This window comes from Homo sapiens, chromosome 4 (assembly GCF_000001405.40).
Source record: "Homo sapiens chromosome 4, GRCh38.p14 Primary Assembly".
Classification (NCBI taxonomy): Eukaryota; Metazoa; Chordata; class Mammalia; order Primates; family Hominidae; genus Homo; species Homo sapiens.
In genome coordinates, this window is record NC_000004.12 from 139,781,663 (window position 1) to 139,800,859 (window position 19,197).

The 19,197-nt window shown below is 41.0% G+C and overlaps 1 protein-coding gene, 1 long non-coding RNA gene and 1 pseudogene across 3 annotated transcripts in view; all 3 read right to left on the reverse strand.

Moving 5' to 3' along the window:
- The window catches only part of MAML3 (mastermind like transcriptional coactivator 3), a 437,432-nt gene that overhangs the window by 64,910 nt on the left and 353,325 nt on the right, over nucleotides 1-19,197 (reverse strand). The gene's annotated exons all lie outside the window — the stretch shown is intronic.
- Nucleotides 478-9,627, reverse strand: LOC124900782 (uncharacterized). The gene is made up of 2 exons (XR_007058277.1): nucleotides 9,486-9,627; nucleotides 478-6,672 (listed from the first exon to the last, which is right to left on the reverse strand). It is a non-coding gene; the product is annotated as an uncharacterized LOC124900782 (long non-coding RNA).
- On the reverse strand, nucleotides 12,463-12,771 carry RN7SKP253 (RN7SK pseudogene 253; annotated as a pseudogene).

The following is a 19,197-nucleotide window of genomic DNA, read 5'->3' on the forward strand; positions in this document are numbered from 1 at the left end:
TCGGGCTTCACACAGGGCAGTGAAGTGTGGTTTTACTTTTAGGGCACTGAGCTCAAGCCAAGCTTGTTCCATGGCTGGGGCATGACACTGGTTTCAACACCAGCCATCTATTCATGGTGATGCTGTTACTCCTTAAAAACTTGAGAAAATATCTGGCACCCTAAGGTCAAGGTGGTTTACTAAAATGAACAGCATAAAATGCTAAAGATGAGAAAATCCCCATGTGCAACCACCCATCTGTGTTCTTTGATAGAATAATAATATGAGTGTCAGTTTGGTCCAACAGAGGCTGAATTGGACTGGATGGAAGGGTTGCTGGATACCACGGGGAACTGTTCCATGGAATGCAGCATTGAGGGAACTTGTTGAGGAGTGGAAGGGAGGGGACAAAGAGATCTGAGTAATAAATCTAGATTTATATGCCCATCCCGTAAATCATGACGAGTCAAATCAGTTTTTAAAAAAATCAGCCAAACATTTTTCAATACTTTCACTGACTTTTTATTATGATTTTTTTAGAGACAAGGTCTCACTTTGTTACTCAGTCTGGAGTGTAGTGGCACAATGATAGTTCACTGCAGCCTCAAACTTCTGCACTCAAGCAGTCTTCCTGCCTCAGCCTCTCGAGTAGCTTGGACTATAGGAGCTCACTACCATGCCCAACTAGTTTAAAATATTGTTTTGGTAAAGATGGGGGTCTCACTATGTTGCCCGGGCTGGTCTTAAACTTCTGGCCTCAACCAGTCCTCCCACCTCAGCCTCCCAAAGTGCTAGGATTACAGGTGTGAGCCACTGTGCTGGGACTGACTTTTTGATCAAGCTGGCATGGTGAAACTAATATTAACAGTTTACATGGACACAAAGATAAAAGTGTTAGCTGATATATATATGTAGAAAAGTGGCTTTCCCCACTTTAACAGGGCTCTTAGGAGGGCAATAGACATGCTAAATGGAGGTGGGCCTTCCTGGTGCCCCTTTTGGTTGTCCTGTAATGAATGGCAAAGTTCAGCCAAGGATCAACTGCAAACTGAGCTTCTTTACTGCCGAGGAGCTGGCCAGAGCTAGTGGTGTGCGCACCCAGAACCTGCAATGTCTATGGGTGAGGCTTCACTTAAGACAGGAGGCCTCTGATGTCAACCCCACAGCTCTGAGCTGCTGGAACATCTTTGGGGCTCAATTTGGGAATCACCTTTCACCTAAAAATATTTTTTCCCTCCATCTTTCAGATGGAGATTTGCAACATTCAAAGTAGAGCCTTACAATTGTATTTGCTGCCCTTTCCTATGCTCCAAATTTGGCTTTAGGCTGCCTATTTTCAGTGTTTGGGAACCTCAAAAAAGGAGCAATGCATAAAACTTCCAGCTGATAGGAATCCTTCCCCAGGGCTTGTCATTTAGCTGCAGCTCCAGCAGGCATTTTGAATGAAGGGGAAAAAAGGACATACAGCCTCGCTAAGTACAGGGGCCTTAAAGAAAACACGGTTCTTAAAGCCCTTTTGTCCTCTGTCTATCTGTAGCACAGGATAATGAAAATGGATACGTGTTGCCTGTTGTTCCTATGTAAATGCTACCTCGAGGACACAGTCTTCACCAGGCAGATGGCTAATTTCTTTGCTCTAACCTCATTTCTCCAGTATTCCGGTGTTCCTGTGACGTCCTGCTCCTGGAGTCAGGTCCTAATTGTTGTCAAGCGTTCAGAGACAAAAGTGGTGTCTACACATCATTCATGTGAAGGCTGTTACTGGCTATGAACTGTAGTTGTGGTGGCAGCAGCAGTGACTGCAGTGGCTGCAACACAAACCTTATGGCAGGTAGTACCTGCTGGTGTGGGGCTGCTCAGAACCTGCCTTTCTGCTTCCAAGTGTCAAGCTGAACATTTTCCTTTGTTATCGCTTCCAGCCCCTGGACTCCAACGTGCTGAAAGCCCTGTGTCTTTCTGTTGGGATCAATACCCGCTTCTTTAACTGTTCCTCTCTGGTTCAGACTGTCTCTCGGCATCATTCTGACCATGCAAATCTGGGGATGCCCAAGAGAGGGCTCATTTGTCTTGTCACAGATTTGGGGGGTGCTGGTTAACTTGTGGCCCCTTGGAAACCCCACTGCCACCGAGCAGTCAGGTAATCCTAATAGCCAGGACCCTCCCAGTCAGCGATTGGCCGTCTGATTGGATGCACATTCATCTTCAAGTTATGTTGTGTGACAGCCCGGGCTGCTGAACACCATTTTAACATGCAGATTGACTCCTCGGAGGCTCTTCATTACGCATTTAGCGGTCTGTTTTCAGACTAACCAGCATGTCAGAGAGGCCCGCTATCCTCTTTCCACCTGGGTGGAGGAAATAGCTCACTGACTGTGGGGGAGCCACAGATATTAAAATGCATATGTTTACCTTCCTGAGCATCCGCACACAACAGCTTTCTCTGATGCAAGAGAAGAAAAAAGAAGAAAGGACCCTTGGTTCTGAAATGCAAGGAAAATGGCTAGCAAAACAAGCGAGCCTTTGTTGATGAGAGCAGTCAACAAGGCCAGGCCCGCCTGATGCCGCCCAGCTGCCCGCAAGCCGACCTGGGAGCGTCCACACAAGCACTCCTCTTATCGACACACAGACCCTCTCTTTCTCTCTCACACAGAGCCTGAAGCATTTTAAGCAGAACACTTCCAATTTCCTGTTTCTAAAACCATCTTGCCTCTCCAGTGGCATTCCAAGCGATCCTGGCGAGGCACGGGATGAGGGAGAATGGTGTTGGTTTAGGTGGCTTCCACTGCAGGGCTCTGGGCTTACTTGCGAGGCTCCAGGCCCCTTCTTTACCCACCCCTCTTCTCTCCCTGCTGTGATTGACTTCCACTTGCTAAAAATACTTCCCTATGGCCTCTCGTTGTTCCTGCATGAGTGCTGATGTTTTCTTGTGCGCGTGTGTGGGTCGCCTTTCTCAAGAATCTCTTTCCATTCCTTAAAAAGAAACATTTGTATTGCTTTTAATACAATTCTCATCTCTTCCCACTTAGTCCCCCAATGTACTATTCTCTCCATTCTTCTGAAGGACCAATTAAACTGGAAGGGTACTCAGTTCTTTGGGCCTTTGCTATGCGCTACGCCTTGGCCAAGTCTGCAGCCCCTGCCCTCATCTCCGATCACTCTCTTGCTTCATTTCTTTGTTGTCACCAGAGAAAGATCCTGGAGAGGTTTAGAAGGCTAGCTTGGTTCTCACAAGTGGGAGCTAATGTGTGCACGTGGACATGGAGTGTGGAATGATAGACATTGGAGACGAGGAGGGGTGGGAGGGTGGAAAGAAGGTAGATGATGGGAAATCTCTGAATGGTACTATGTACATACCTTATTCGGGTGATGTATACACTAAAAGCCCAGATTTCATCATCACACAACATAGCTGTATAACAAAATTACACTTGTACCCCTTACATTTGTACAAAAGAAGAAGGCGGCTAGCTTGGACACAAACACTCATGAGGCCAGGGCCGATACCTGGATTCCTAACTGACAGACACCCAGCCACATGGCTCCTGGGTGCTCAATGTCTGAACCACAGCCTGCCCCTCAGCTTCTGGGTCCTCCCACACGGTGCCGGATCCTGATACCAAGACCGAGGACATGGATGGGGTTTTGCTGTTTACATGCTTAAAATATTAATAATCAGAGTTCACTTTCATAGGGCTCTGGGCAGAAAATAAAATGACAGCAGAGCTGTATTCCTAATTCCCCTGGAAGGGCTGTGAAGGAGGAATATAATGGTTCCCTATGCTTGCTCTGGGATCAGAGTGTTCTTGATGAGTGAATTGGGCAGTAAACACAGCTCTTTATTTTTGTACGGAATGTGGTGATCCCCACTGGCAGGAACAGGTTGCATGTGGTTGCTGGGCTGTTGCTTGGCTGGTGCTGCACTGCGGAGTATTGTTTGGAAAAATATCACCCAGCACGAACAATATGGCTCCCCAGCGCCTGGGGCACTGCATGGAGAGATCTGTCCCTTCATTCACATATCTCTGCACTAATTTTTTTTTTCCTGTGATAAAACAGATTTCCTGAATTTAAAATGCTACTGAGGGTTTTGGGTGGTGGAGCTATGCTGTGTTTTAAGAAGAGTCCTTGATTGGCAAGTGAGCAGGGGGCAGCTTGTGGTTTGGAAGCTTCTCATACACAGAGAAGGGGGCCTGGGAATTCTAATGACAATTTAATAGCGGCCTGCCACATGGTCTAGGGAAAGTAATTAAATCTTGAATTTTAAGTTCCCGATGGTAAAATGGGGGTGTTATGGACTGAATTGTGTCTCCCACCAAAATTCATATGTTGAAGTCCTAACCCCCAATATCTCAGAATGTGACTGTATTTGGAGACAGGGCCTTTAAAGAGGTAATTAAGTGAAGTCATTAGGGTAGGCACTAATCCGATATGGCTGGTGTTCATCTAAGAAGAGGAAATTTGGACACAGACATAGAAGGGTGACCATGTAAGACTGGAAGAATATGGCTGTCTGCAAACGAGGCAGAGGCCTTCAGAAGAAACCAACCTGGCCAACAGCTTCACCTCAGCCTTCCAGCCTCCAGAGCTGTGAGAAAATAAATGTCTGTTGTTTAAGTTACTCAGGCTGTGGGACTTTGTTATGGCAGCCCAAGCAGACTAAGACAAGGCGTATGAGTGCTAATGTGCTTTAAGGATGTGAGAAACCATGGAAAGGGGAAAAGTGGAGTCTCACGGTATTTGGGGGATTGATTTCAGGCATCATTTTAGCTGATATATGGCTTATGAAGAGTGGCCAGTAAATCTCAGCCCAGATGCTAATTTCACAGGGACTAGGTGGAAATTGGGTTGTTTTCTGTTGGCTAAATACCTGTAAAAGTGTGGTTGCTCTTTAGCTTCTTGTGCGTAAGGCAGAAGTGACATCTTGAACTGAGAAAATGCTGTGAAGGACCTATCTGGCCCTTCAAATAAATCTCTAGATTTTTGTTTGAGCCAATCAATCAGTTCTCCAAGGTGTCAGCTGGTAACAGACATATCTGTCAATACAACAGTACTGCCGTCACCGGGCAGGCTGTGTTCACAGCAGGAAGCATGGCTCAGTAGTTACTTATATTTGGGAAATGGATAACCCGGGATTATGGGTTTCAGGAGGTGAGGTTAAAGTGGGGTCAAGGGCCAGGTTAATGCTAGTACAGTTTCCACTGGAGAAAGACAGCACGATATATTGACTTTAGGGAAACATGTTTCTAGCCTTGCTCCCCACCCCTGCTTATTCCACCCGGGGACATCCCTTGTCAGAGCCTACACCAGACTGTGCCTCAGAGACACAGCCCTGCCAATTGCTGCAGTGGGAAATGCTGAATCATGAGAGTACAGGTGGAGGAAAAATAAATATTCTGTATGTAATAGAAAAATTGAACATGCCTCAGTTGGGTTTGCCACTGAGCCTTTTTGTTCAGCTTTCCCTTCCCGGCTGTGAGCAGCACTCTACTGAACCTTCCTCGTTCTGCAGCAGCGCTCCGTCCTGCGCCCCACAGGGGATTTCCTTACACTTCACTTACTCATTCTCAGCTGAACAGACATAAATGTTAATGTAGTTCTGTGCCCCTTAATCAAATACAGGTCCCCTCCTGGAACAGGGAGATCTACAACTACGGAACACTGGCTAAAGACCATCTTCTATCTTTGTTACATATTCTTTTTTGTTGAATTCACTAAGTGTTGCCTTTTTATACCATGGGACACTAGAACCAAGGAGGAAGTAGCCCTTTCTAAATTATTATTATTCCTGTTCTCTGTATCACACCTTCTTTTCCTTCTTCAAAAATGCCATTTTCCAAGTCAGCAAGCTTATATAAATCCCAAGTCTCACTACTTTTCTAAACAATTTTCAAGTCTCTTTTCTGGGATTTAATATCTCCTGTGATAACCCAAACTGGACACAGAATAGCACTAATGTTTTATATGTTATCTTAAATTTTCTGTATTATTTTTTATTTTAACCCCAAGCATCCTATTGGCTTTTTAAATTGCTGCTGCACACCAGACAGATATTTTCCCCAAGTTATCAACCATGACTCTTAAATTATTTTACTATGAGTTCAGAGCCTATCAGAGATTATGAGAAGTTTGGATTATTTTTCCCAAAGTGCATTACTTTACACTTAACCAAATTAAATTTCATCTGCTTTCACACTACCCAATCCCCTAGTTTGTTTAGCTTTGCCTGAAGTGTCTCATAGCAATCCTTAATTTTTTATTAACCATGTCAATTTGAAGCTTTGTACTTAACTCTCTACTTTAGGGCTTTTGCCATCTATTCTTGTTACACTTTTGGAAACCAGTGGGTTTTAAAAGGTGTAGAATGAAGCATTATTTGGTGAGATTCTATGCTAAGTGACATGTAAAAGATCCCAACAAGTTAATGAGGACAGTCCTGAAGATGAGGCACCAGAGTCCAATTCAACCTCAAGAAGCACCTTTATTTCTGTGCTGAGAATAAATGATCCTAAAATGTTTCCCATTTCTTTTCGATATTACATTGAAAACTCAGTGAGAAATCCTAGCAGACAGCTCATTTTCCTGTACAGGCACCTTCTATCCTGGCTTCTTTTCCAACCTGTGGTGGCAACAGGGGGCTTGTCAAATGGAGCCTTCCGCACTCCCTCCCATTTCTCTCTCTTCAAGGTGGCATTTCTTTTAATTGAATAGAAACTAGAATCAGTTAGTTTGCTAGATGTTTTTTCATGATTATTTCCTGATTTCTTATCTTAGATACCAAGAGAAAGATATGTCACATCCTGTCTCCAGTTCTTTTCTCCTCGCTGTCTCCAATCTCTTTCTCTATATATCCTGAAGAGAACCTCACATCTGACAGAATGAAATCCTCCCATTTTTAAAGTTACCAATAAGAGTGTGGCTAAAACTGCTAGGTGCCTACCATTGTCCCTATTTTTAGCTGGGCCTGTTGCTAGCAAGCTAAAAGACTATAATCTTTAACTTCTCTTGCAGATAGGGATGGCCAAGAAACTAAGTTTTGGTCTATGAGATACAGTGAAATTTTGAATAGCTTTTCTTAGAAATTTCCGTCAAAGAGGACATGCCTCCTTCTTTTGTTCCTAGAACAGAAGTTCTGCCTGGAATTCTTATGTGATGGCTGGAGCTCTAGAAGCCATTGATAGACCATGAGGGTCACAACCTAGGGATGGCAGAGTGGAGAGTGGGCTTGAGTTCTTGATGACTTTGTGGAGCTGCCAGAGTAGCCCTGGATCACTTTCTTTGTGAAAGAAAAATAAACTATGCTGTTTAAACCACTGTTGTGGGGAAGAAGAGGAGGAAAGAAGACCTTTGTTATTTGCAGCTGTATTTAATTTTTACTGATACAGAAAGACTTGACTTAGGTTTATTTCATATAACCAAGGCCTTTTAATGCTAGAGTAGCCTTAGAGATCATCAAATACAATCTTTTCAAATACAGGCCAATTCGTTGTATTTGCTGAACACCTATCACATGAAAGGCAGTAGACTAGGTGTCATAGGGTATACAAAATGCTACAAAATGTGGTTTTTCCCTTAAAGGAGATTTAATCACTAAGCTGATAATAACACAGGCAGAATGTGGCAAGCATCTTAAAAGAGGAACTCACAGTGTTCCACGGAAACACTGGGAGGATTAGAATTGATTAGGGGTTGGGGTGGGGTAGTCTGGACCTAAGAAGTCTTCACAAAGGGTGTTGGAGCTGAGTCTGGAAGAAGAGTAGTATTTCACAAGAGGGGTGGGTAGAGGGCAAGCAGAGTCTAGAAAGCAGAATCTAGAAAGAGGGATCCTCATGAGCGAAGCGGAGCACACAGCAGGTTGAGTCCGTGTGTAGGAGCTGCTAGCAGCCCAATGTGACTAGGCACGGGTGGATGTGAAGGCATGGCAGGGGGAAGGCCTGGGTGGGGACACTGCAGGGTTTTGAATGTCATGTAAGCAGTTTTAAAAATTATTAGTCTGTAAGTACTGAGGAGCCACTAAAGTCTTCTGACCAAAGAAGTGATATATAATTTTTTTTTTGACCATGTCTTGGAACAGAGAGAGAAAGTATTGAAGATTAAACAGAACAGTTAGAAAGTTAATTCAAAAGTTGTTTTTTGTTTGTTTGTTTTTGTTTTTCCAACCTCAACTATGGCAATGTTGGTGAATTCAGAAAGGAGAAGGGTGATGAAACAGGTGTGGAGGGACTTGGACATGGGGGTCGAAGGTGACTAAACTTGGGTGACTGAGAAGCTTGTGAACTTGTCAACTAGATTTTGAATATGCTGAGCCTGAGGTGCCAGTGTGAGAATCCCAGGAGAAGTCTAGCTGACTGTGGGAATGTAGGACATTCAGACCTTGTTGGGAAGCTCAAATGGAAAACTGCAATTATTCAGGCACTTTTAACTAACGACTCTCTCAGGACCCAGGACCAACAAATTTCTTTGAGGATGGTGTTCTCATCTCTGGGGCAGACGGCTTGGGAGAAACAGGTAGGGGTCACCGAGGAGGGAAAGGGCCACCCACCTAGGCTGTGAGATGTGTCAACTCCACCCTAGTGACATATATATATATATATATATATATATAAATAAATATATAAAATAAAATATATACCTATATATAATATATACCCTATATATATAATATATATACCTTGCCAAATTAAAAAAATTTCCTGAGTAATCTTTCTTTTTTTGCTTTATGTACAGAACAAACCACTTTTTTTCATTGTAGAAAACATACATAACATAGGTACTATTGTAACCATTTTTAAGGGTTCAATTCAGTGGCATTAGTATATTCACGATGTTGCGCAACATCACCGCTATCCATTTCAGGGAATTTTTCATCACTCCAAATAGAAACTGTATCCATTAACAATAACTTCCCATCACCTTTCCCCGCCTGCACCTGATAACCTCTATTCTACTTTGTCTTATGAATTTACCATTTCAGGTATCTTATATAGATGGAATTGTGTAATATTTGTTTTTTTGTGTGTGTCTGGCTTATTTCACTTAACATAATGTCTTCAAGGTTCATCCATGTTGTAGTACGTATCAGACATTCATTCTTTTTGAAGACTGAATAACATTCCATCGTATGTACATACCACATTTTGATTATCCACTCATCTATTGATGGACATTTGGATTGTTGCTACCTTTTGGCTATTGTGAATAATGCTGTACCTGAGTAACTTTATATTAAAATCACCTTAGCCAACCAGCTCTTGACTGAATTCCCACAGAAACATACAGAAACCTGAAAATTTTTATAGTGTCCTCTTTTTGTTCTGGGAGTTTTGCAGAAGAGATGATATCATTTAAAGAGACCAGATTAGCAACAAACAGAATTTTTGAATAGAAAACTAAACTGATATAAAATTAAGTTAGGCTTAAAGATAACTTAGATAGATATTTTGTTTAAATATCTTTTAAACTCTTAATATGTACTGAACTTTAAAAGTTTTATAATAATGGAAACTTACCCTTATATAAATCTTCAAAATATATGAGGTACATTCTCATCCATTATCCTTACATCATCTCATCCACCGCTGGGTATGGTGGCTTACGCCTGTAATCCCAGCACTTTGGGAGGCTGAGGCAGGTGGATCACTTGAGGTCAGGAGTTTGAGACCAGTCTGGACAACATGGCAAAAGCCCATCTCTACTAAAAATACAGAAATTAGCCAGGCATGGTGGCACGTGCCTGTAATCCCAGCTACTCTCGGGAGGCTGAAGTAGGGGAATTGCTTGAACTCAGGAGGTGGAGGTTGCAGTGAGTGAGCTGAGATCACGCCACTGCACTCCAGCCCAGGAGACAGAGTGAGACTCCATCTCAAAAAAAAAAAAAAAAAAAGGCACCCATTATCTAAATAAACTGTCACTGACTTATAAGGTTATAAATATATTTCCTCTAAAATATAATATAAAGAAGTTTCATAATACATGTAAGAATTCCCTTCAGTGCATTTATTTACCTTTTCAAGATAGTAGTCAAAGCAGCTTTACTCATAATACAGGGAAATGTCCCTCCTGAAAGTTAACCACTGAGCTATTTGGTCACAAAGCACATTATTCTAAAACCAGTATTATTCCAGAACCCTGAGCATATTTTACAGTATTTCCAGCCCATTGTATTCTAGCCAGTTGTTCTGTATCACATCCTTACCAACATAAGCTATTGTTTAGCAGCCAACTCCCCAGCATTGTTATTATAGATGAATGTGTTCCTTCCCAGAACAGCCCACTGCAGACAGGTGGACATGGTAATTACGGAGGCTCCATCTGTTAGTGGTGCTGGATATACTGGGATCTCTGTTTGAACTTAGATCCTTTGAGTATTTGGGCAGATGCATGTTGGAGGCTAGAGAAATATTAATGCAGACAGCGCTACATACATTTTTGTTGCATTGAACAAATCAATTTAACTCAATTAACATTTATTGAGTACTTGCTAAGACTCAGGCACTGTGTTGGATTCCAAGCATGCGATTCAGCTCATGGATATATGGAGAGAGCAGAATGAAAACATTTTTACTGTCACACAAAAGGTTTGAGACTCAAACTCATAGTAGATTAAATCTAAGAGATCTGAGAAGTCATCTACTCCACTTCCTCCTATAACAATGAGCAAACGATATCCTTTACAGATAGCATATTTAAAACAATATAGATGGTTTTGGAACAGAGATTTAAGCTGATGTCTTAATATCAACTTAGTTTAAAAATATTTAGGATAAAAATTTTGTTTGATATTAATTTATGATCCTCATAAGGATCTGAGTTACAAACATTCTATAATAATATATCTCACAATTAAACAAAGTGAATTAACCACCATGGCATAGCTATTCTGTTCTGGTCTGTATTTTCAGATATACAGCATTTAAAATGTTATATACTTGCTGCTTATAAGCTACCCAGACAGCAACAAAACAAATGGAATGTACAAAGTGTGGAACTAAGCCAAAAGCCCTTCTTTTTCTCTTTGTTACATGATTTTTCAAAGCTATTAATACTGTTAACATTGCACTGGATAGTAGAATTCTAGTTCTGGTAGAACTGGTTTTCTTTTCTTTCTTTCTTTTTTTTTTTTTTGAGACGGAGTCTTGCTCTGTCACCCAGGCTGGAGTGCAGTGGTGCAATCTCGGCTCACTGCAAGCTCCGCCTCCCGGGTTCACGCCATTCTCCTGCCTCAGCCTCCCAAGTAACTGGGACTATAGGCGCCCACCACCAGGCCAGGCTAATTTTTTTTGTATTTTTAGTAGAGACGGGGTTTCACCATGTTAGCCAGGATGGTCTTGATCTCCTGACCTTGTGATCCGCCCGCCTCGGCCTCCCAAAGTGCTGGGATTACAGGCGTGAGACACCGCGCCCGGCAGAACTGGTTTTCTTTAAGAATGCTGATGAGGATGGGTGGGCATTACCTCACTGGTAGAGCCATTCTTACTTATCCAAAGAAACGAAACACATTTATTCATAGTAGAGCTACCTACTGTGCTATGCTCTTGAGCCACACCTCCCTCCAGCCCCTCTACCTTAAATTTAGAGTTACAGGTTCATTGGAAAGAGCATCAACCCAACCTGCTTACATCAGAGACCTGAACACTCAGTGTGACTGTGCGAACTCCCCGTACAGGACATTTATTAATGCTAGTATGCACTTTCTCCCTCTTAGTAATAACATTCCAGAGTCCTCTTGGGGAGAAATCTCCATTGACTTTGTGGAACTGCAAGGCAAGGTGCCTAGTTCTCCAATCACCAAGATGTGCACACATGACCCATTGGCCAAGTGGACACTCTCTCCCAAATCTTCGAATCTCAAGCAGATGGATGCAAGGATGGAAAACAGCTGGAATCGACTCATTTCAGTGGTGGCATCTTAAAATCCTAAATACTAATTCCTGCCAAAAGAGCCCTAGAGTTTTCTTTATTCCTGTGGCTTTTCCAAGCCTGGCTCTGCATTGTTCTGAAATCTGTGGGCTAACTAACAGCTTTGCCTAGGTTCACCTGAGTTGATTTTCACTGCTTTCTATCAAAGAACCTAACTTACACACTATCTGAGTCCAGAAATACAGATCTTTAGCTCCAGAGGGTATTAAACACATTCTTCTGTAATTTATTCATGTTAGATCAGCAAACATCTATAGGTAGTTGTTTGAATATTCCAATGGTGTTCAATGGTGAGGCACAGCCCTAGGAGAATATTATTATGGTTGTACACTGAGAATACATTACTTTCTAATAAGGAAGGAAAAGAAAAAAAACGAACAGCACTGTACATCTTGGCTACTCACCTTTTAACAGTAGCCAGAACTCATTGTCAGGAAGTTCTCATGTACCTAAGGAACAGTCCTACATGGATATTCCATATTCATGGCTGTGATCCCCTGGCCTTGTTATGATCTTTAAGCAACTTATAAATCATTATCAAAAGAAGATTACACTGTACTTACTTCATTTTAATACAACATATTTTGCTTGAAAAATTATAATATTCATGTTCAGTATTCTAGTTACTTCAATAAGATGAACCAGAACACCATATTCTCTTAGAATCCCAGATAACAGACAAAGTCATCACACACTTCTGGTCAAAGAACAATGATCTATCTGGGAAGGCTCTTCTTCTCTCTATACAGCCCCAGGAAGGCCACATGTGGGAAGGTGAGGAGGGAGGCAGACATCTAGTCAGCTGATTCGATCAGTAAAATCAACCCAGGCCATCAGTGGGGTGCCTGGTGTCCCAGTAGGATCATCTTCACTCCCAATCTGACTGTGCACTGGATACCAGGTGCCTTACTGGCCTCACCCTGGTCCTGATCCTGCCTCTATATCAACTCCCAGGCTTTGCTTAAGCACACTGTTATTCCTAACTGCTTCCATCTCCACCTTAGCAATTCCTATGCTCTAAAATGTCAACTCCTATGACTTACTGAGGCAGCCTGCAAATTTGGGCTTTTACTTGGTCTGAAGAGCTCTTGTCCAGTTTTCAAAATGATTTCCTACTGGGAAAATGCCAATCTCTCTGCTCCCTGTGTTGTGGCTAAAATGTAGCTTGAGGTGGCAAATCTGTGTTCCACGCTGGAAGAGCACATCTGGTTTTGATTTTTGCAGATGACACTGCCAACAGTCTTTGCTCCTCTGTGGAGCTGGCCAAGATTGTTTCTGTCTTCGTACTGCTTAACAGACTAGGGTCAGGTGCCAAGAGGTTGCCTGTCCTGAAAGCTTCTTTTCTGAATGAAGGTAAGAATTGGTGGCAATGACACCTAGAAACTCCCAAATAGCTGAAGTTTTCGAGGAAAAAAAATCACTGTGCCTTACCAATATAGTTATCTCTGCTTAGACAGTGACTGAGACTGAAGTTATATTGCTTCTTCCCCAGGGATCAGAAAGGGCAGCCACAGAGTTAGGTGAGAAGGCACAGCTGAAGCGATGGAAGATTTACATCATATCTGTCAGCATGTCAATAACCCATCCTGAAATTCAGGAAAGGCTGAAAAACTGTCTAACTTGAAATTTCATTAATAATTGTAATAAAAAAAGACTAATTCGACAATAACCTAACATAATGTTGAATTTCACAGACATTTTATTGAAGAGGAACACAAGCAAGTAACTTTGGAAGTCCCTTAAAGTGTAGACTTCTGGCTGTTGATTTTTAAAAACAAAAGTATAAGGATGTCAACTAAATTTGAATTCAATTGAGTGGTTCATGCTTTATGTGCCATGCATATTATACACGAAACGTTTCTGAATGCATTTTAGTTGAGTGTTAAGGGTGAAATTAGAATGGTTTAATATTTGGAGGCAATTTCCTGTTAAATTGTCAAATTCATCTTATTATAGGAGCTTCTGGGGAATGTTTGAGGCACCACGGTTCTTGTGTTCTTTTATGGGAGTGGAAGACATTTTCAAAAAGTCACAATTTCTGGTAAGTAACGGACTCCATTCTTTTCTCCATAACACTGGCAGACATTCTTGGCATCAGCCTGACAAATCTCCCTACCACAGAGATGCAGTGTCTTGAAAGCTGCAAGCAGGAAACAAGCTTCTGTCTTTTTAGCGGACCTCCTGAATGAGGCTTCCAGCTGACCCCACTTGCAACATGCGGTAGTACCATATTGTTGTGGAGATGTAAAACCCTTCTGGAGGATCCTAAATTACTCTAGGAGAGGGTGGTGTGTAACTACGCATGTATGTGCACACAAATGCACATGTAAATACACACATTCTCTCTTTCTGTCTCTCACAGACAGACTTTCCCATTTACCCCACTATAAGTGTGACTGTATCTTCTTTAGCACAGGTATGTAATAATTGAGGGCATTTGGGTAGCACGTGGTAACCTTTTTTGAGGCTGGAAAACTAGTTTCTCTTGGGCAATGTGAGGTCAGGTTTCATCAGACATGGAAATGTGGGAGCTTCATGTTTTTTCTTCTAGAATGCCATTTCTGTAATTTTGTATAAACAAAGGATAAGATCTGTCTCTGACACTGGATCAGATTCGTTATGCTTTATAATCTCTGGCTTACAGATATGATGACTATTATGAGGCTTTAGGAACTGCTGATATCTACTAGGGCTTTATAGAGAGAAGAAACTTCGAAAAAAGAAGATATTTTACACTTCACATGTCTGACAAGGGTGTGTGGGGCCAATTTACAGCAGGGGCTTAATATATTTTTGATGAAAATTGCTGCAATGTGGCACACAGATTAAAGAGAAAATAGCTATTTTGTAATGACAGCAGTAGATTCTGAAATGAAGCCCAGCTGGTACAAAGATCCTACATGGATTTCAAGATACACTACCCTCTTCCCAGGCTTTACAACAGCATTTAAATGTCCTCCAGGCTAGAGTACCCTATCAGAGATTTCCATGGGTGTGAACCTTGTGGCTCCACCCTCAGAAGTAAGGGAATAATCTAGTGATTCGAATGTGTTGAAAAATCAACCAACCGATCAAGATGGATTTGGACAGACCATGGTTTAGCTTGCCCTACCAGAACCTAGAGCAAATACCTAATATGATATAATGAACCATGAGGTAGAGGCTAGTTCTACCCCTCTACACCAGCAATTGCAAAAAGGTTACAATATATATGCTTTAAAATGATCGCAAATCAAAAGAGAAATGATAGTCACCAAAGTCAAGCACAGTGACTGGAATACAGCAAGAATGAATGAATGAATGAATGATGACTACAACAAAGACCCAGTAGTTAGGTTTTCCAGATCTTATTTTGTATCTGAGCACTGGGCTTGGACACAGAGAGCCATAAGTAGGTTATTTAATTTCCCTTAAACTCAATTTCCTCATCTGTAAAATGGTCCTGGTAATTCACAGGATTGCTGTGAGGTCTAAAAGTGATGATGTCAACATGCCTGGCCAGAGCAGGTACTCCCCCTACATGACATTGCTTACTGAGGCTGCAGCCTTCAATTTGTTCTTACAATTGAACAAAATATTATGTATGTCATGTGAAACTTGTTTTACAGTTTATCTCAACCTAAGTTGGCATTATTTTAAAGTCATAAAAACATGATAAAAATACACATATACACATGCTGACATTTAACTAATAAGAGTCCAGTTATGGAGTGATCCTGACCATCTGAGCGAACATGTCAGCAGGGTCATGCTACATATAGGATGTGGGGTCAGAAAAGTAAGGTGAGAGGCCACAGTTAGGATCATGTACAAGCTAATAATGTCACATGGCTAAAGACACACATTCCCATGGACACTGGACAATGGGCTGAGTTTTTTTCAACAAATCAAAGGCATATACTACAAAGGAAAGAGTGTGTATGCTGTTCCAGAGTAAGAGGCTTAATCCAAACACCACATCCTTGGTGGAAGGGGGTGTTCTCCCATTCATAGCAAGGACACAGAGCAGCCAGGGCATCGCTGGCTGGCTGTGAGCACAGAGAGGCAGAGACCAGATTGAGGGGTAGTTCACTTTTTCAGAAATACATACTCTGTATATAGAGGTAAATTGATATGATGTTTGGTTGGAACTTGCTTTAAAGATACTTCAACAAGAGGAAAAAAGAATAAACAAAATAAATATGTCTATCCCCTGCACCCCCCAAAAAAGACTTGAAGATGTAACACCCAGTGCAATGGTTTGAATCCTAACCAACAATAAAAAGCATTTTTGATGCAATGTATTTATAGATGAAGCAATGACTATGAATTCTGATAACAGTGATAATGGCATTGTGATTACCTAAGAAAATATCCATATTTTAGAATTGTATATGTATATATAAAAAAGGAAGGGGTGAAGGGACCTGAAGTATAAGAGTTGCTTTAAAGCACTTAAGAAAAAAAGAAAGAAAGGAAGGAAAGAAAGGAGAGAGAGAGAAAGAAAGAAAGAAAGAAAGAAAGAAAGAAAGAAAGAAAGAAAGAAAGAAAGAAAGAAAAGGGATTAAGAAAGCATGGCAATACCTTGATAATTGAATTTGGGTGGCAGGTATACGGGAGTTCACAGAAGCAGTCCCTCAACCTTTCTTTTGTTGAAATGTTTTTCATAATACAATAAGAAAAAAATCACTTACGCTTTCTGAGCCTTGGTGCCAAGTACTTGGAATGAATGGTAACTATTAGGTTGAGCCATATGAAACTGCTATTTTTGTAGATCAAAAACAGTTGAATATCACCATCTTTAAATGGTCGAACTCAACCCAAACCAAAGACTCTCAAAATGCCTTTCATCTCTGACATTCTATCCATAATCCTAGACAGAGCTAAACTCTGCAAAAAGTTCAGTGTCCAAAGTTGTCAGGCAATACTCTGCAGGGACAGGTACCACACTGGCCCACCTTCAACAACAGCTTCTATGGTAACTGTATTGTCAAGTGCAACAGAAAGACAAGGTCATCACAAAGGCCATAGCTGTTGCCAGCCCTGATCACTGGTCATGATGTGCTCTCCCTATGCAATTTACCTGGGAATCTCCCTTATGCATGTGTCACATCATTCATAGTCTATGAGGTAAAACAGGTCAGGGCCAATTCCACAAAAACACCACTTCCTCCTAGTACAGATGGTAGAAACCCTCAGAGACTGACATTCTGCCAGTTTCTAAATTTAGTCCTAGCCTTACCTCCAAAATTAAACAAAATAGCAAATACTTTTGGTATTGTACTTCAGAATAGGGAAAGTTGTCCAATTTAGCAGGGATGTGTAAACATTTCCTTTCTCATCCTGATGTCCTACCAGGCCCTTTCATGGCCTTTTCCCATTAAATTTTGTAATTTTAAATATCTTATCTAATAAGTTTATTTATTTACCTGGGCAGATTAAATGCAGCTGAATTCCTTGGTCTGTAAGTGATTAGCGTAGGCAGTTAAAAGCAGCCTAAACTTATGGGCAAGGTTTTCAGTTTCTATCCCGAGCTTGCTTCTCTGTTCCATGGTTAATAAGAGCATTCCAACTCTAGCCAGCCTTATTGTAACCTCTGGTCCTCTATGTTCAAAGATTGGGTGAGAACATTGAAAAGCATGACTTTTATTGATGTAGGTGAGTACTGCCATTTTTTTGTGAAGTACTACACATAATTAAGCGACCAACTTCTAAAGCAAATCACTTTTATGAGTGATAACTGTTTCTATTTGTTTGGGATCAACCGTCCTTGGAGTGATTCTTGCAAAGAAAAATATCCTGACACTATACATCAACCTAATGCTATGAATTGGCTAATGATAAAGGTAGCTATTCTACTTTCAAGGTTGAAACGACTGAAATCAAAACATAACTAGACAAATGCTCACAGCTAAAGTGTGTACTGTGCATGTGTGTATTAAGGAAAAATAGATAGATACTTTAAACCCTGGGCAGTGGAAAGAAAACCCAAAAATCCAAGGAAGGCAGTTAACTAAATTCTCTTTCTGTCCTCATAAGACAGTACATTTTCAGGTTCATGTAAGGAAAAGTGAAATTGAAGCTTATAAATTAGAAATGGATGAGACTAAGGCAAGAGAAGGGAAGGAAGACAGGAAGGAGATGCATTCTTATCTTTCCCCCAAGGTCAAAGTGATGCACATTTTCTATTCTGTGGAAACTCAAGACTGGACTTTTGAATCAACCAATTCCCTCTGACATCAAGTGAGGAGGGCAAGGCACAGCTGTCAGTGATTTCAATTCCAGTCCTTTACAATTTCATTTTTGGAGGAGGGGCTCTCAGTAAACCCTGTGACTCCTATTTAAACAGAAGCAAATGCACTTTAGTATTTACCCTCTTAAGTTTCAGAACAAGTCAGGGAAAGAGGAGAAAAAAAGGAATATGAGACAAAATATTTATAATATCAGGAAAAAGCTTAAATCTTTGCATGAAACAAAACTGTACTGCAAGGGATTGTATTTATTCTTCCACAACACTAAAGAATATATAAATATATTATTAAATTTATGACAAACCATATTTTCATTTCAGTAAAAAGCAGAATCAGACTGTTTTTTTCAGACCTTAACAACTCATACTTAGAAAAAAATGTTACGTGCATCAACCGAAGTAAATATTCTTGAATGTTCCCTGGTAAACGTTGATGAATGCAGTGATTTAGGAGTGGTTAGAACAGGAAGAAGGCCATTTCTATGTCTAGATTGTTTAATGATTACCTGTCCCGTCTTCCTTAAGAAGGCAGAGAGTGTTGCACAGAAGTCTACTTGTGTGGTCTCAGCAAAGGCAAATTTATAAAGATTTTGCCTTTCCAGGACATAAACTCCTGTGTATAGGGGCTGTCTCAAATACCTGTGCACTTAGTAATTGACTTGATGATGAGAATAAATGAAGATGAAAAAGAGAAATTCATCACTTACTGAAAAGTATAAAGTTTCTGTTTTAAAAGTTTTACAGAGCAGAGAGAGATTTTCAAAAGAGGAGGAGAACAGAGAGCTGCACCTCTTCAGCTGCTGCTCAGACTTTAGCAACGAAGGAGGCCTCCGTCACTGGAAGATTGTACACGCAAGATAAAACAATCAGAAAGGCCTCCGATTTGTTTTCATTTGAAAACTCAAAGTCAGCTTTAATTTCTGAAAGAAATGAGAGATAATGACTCAAAATATGGCAGACTAGCTTTACAAACAGCCATTTGCCCAAAATGAATAATAATTTTAGATGATGAGTTGTAAACAACACTGATTTCATTTATTTTGCAACCAGTAATCCTGTTGAGGAGAGACAAG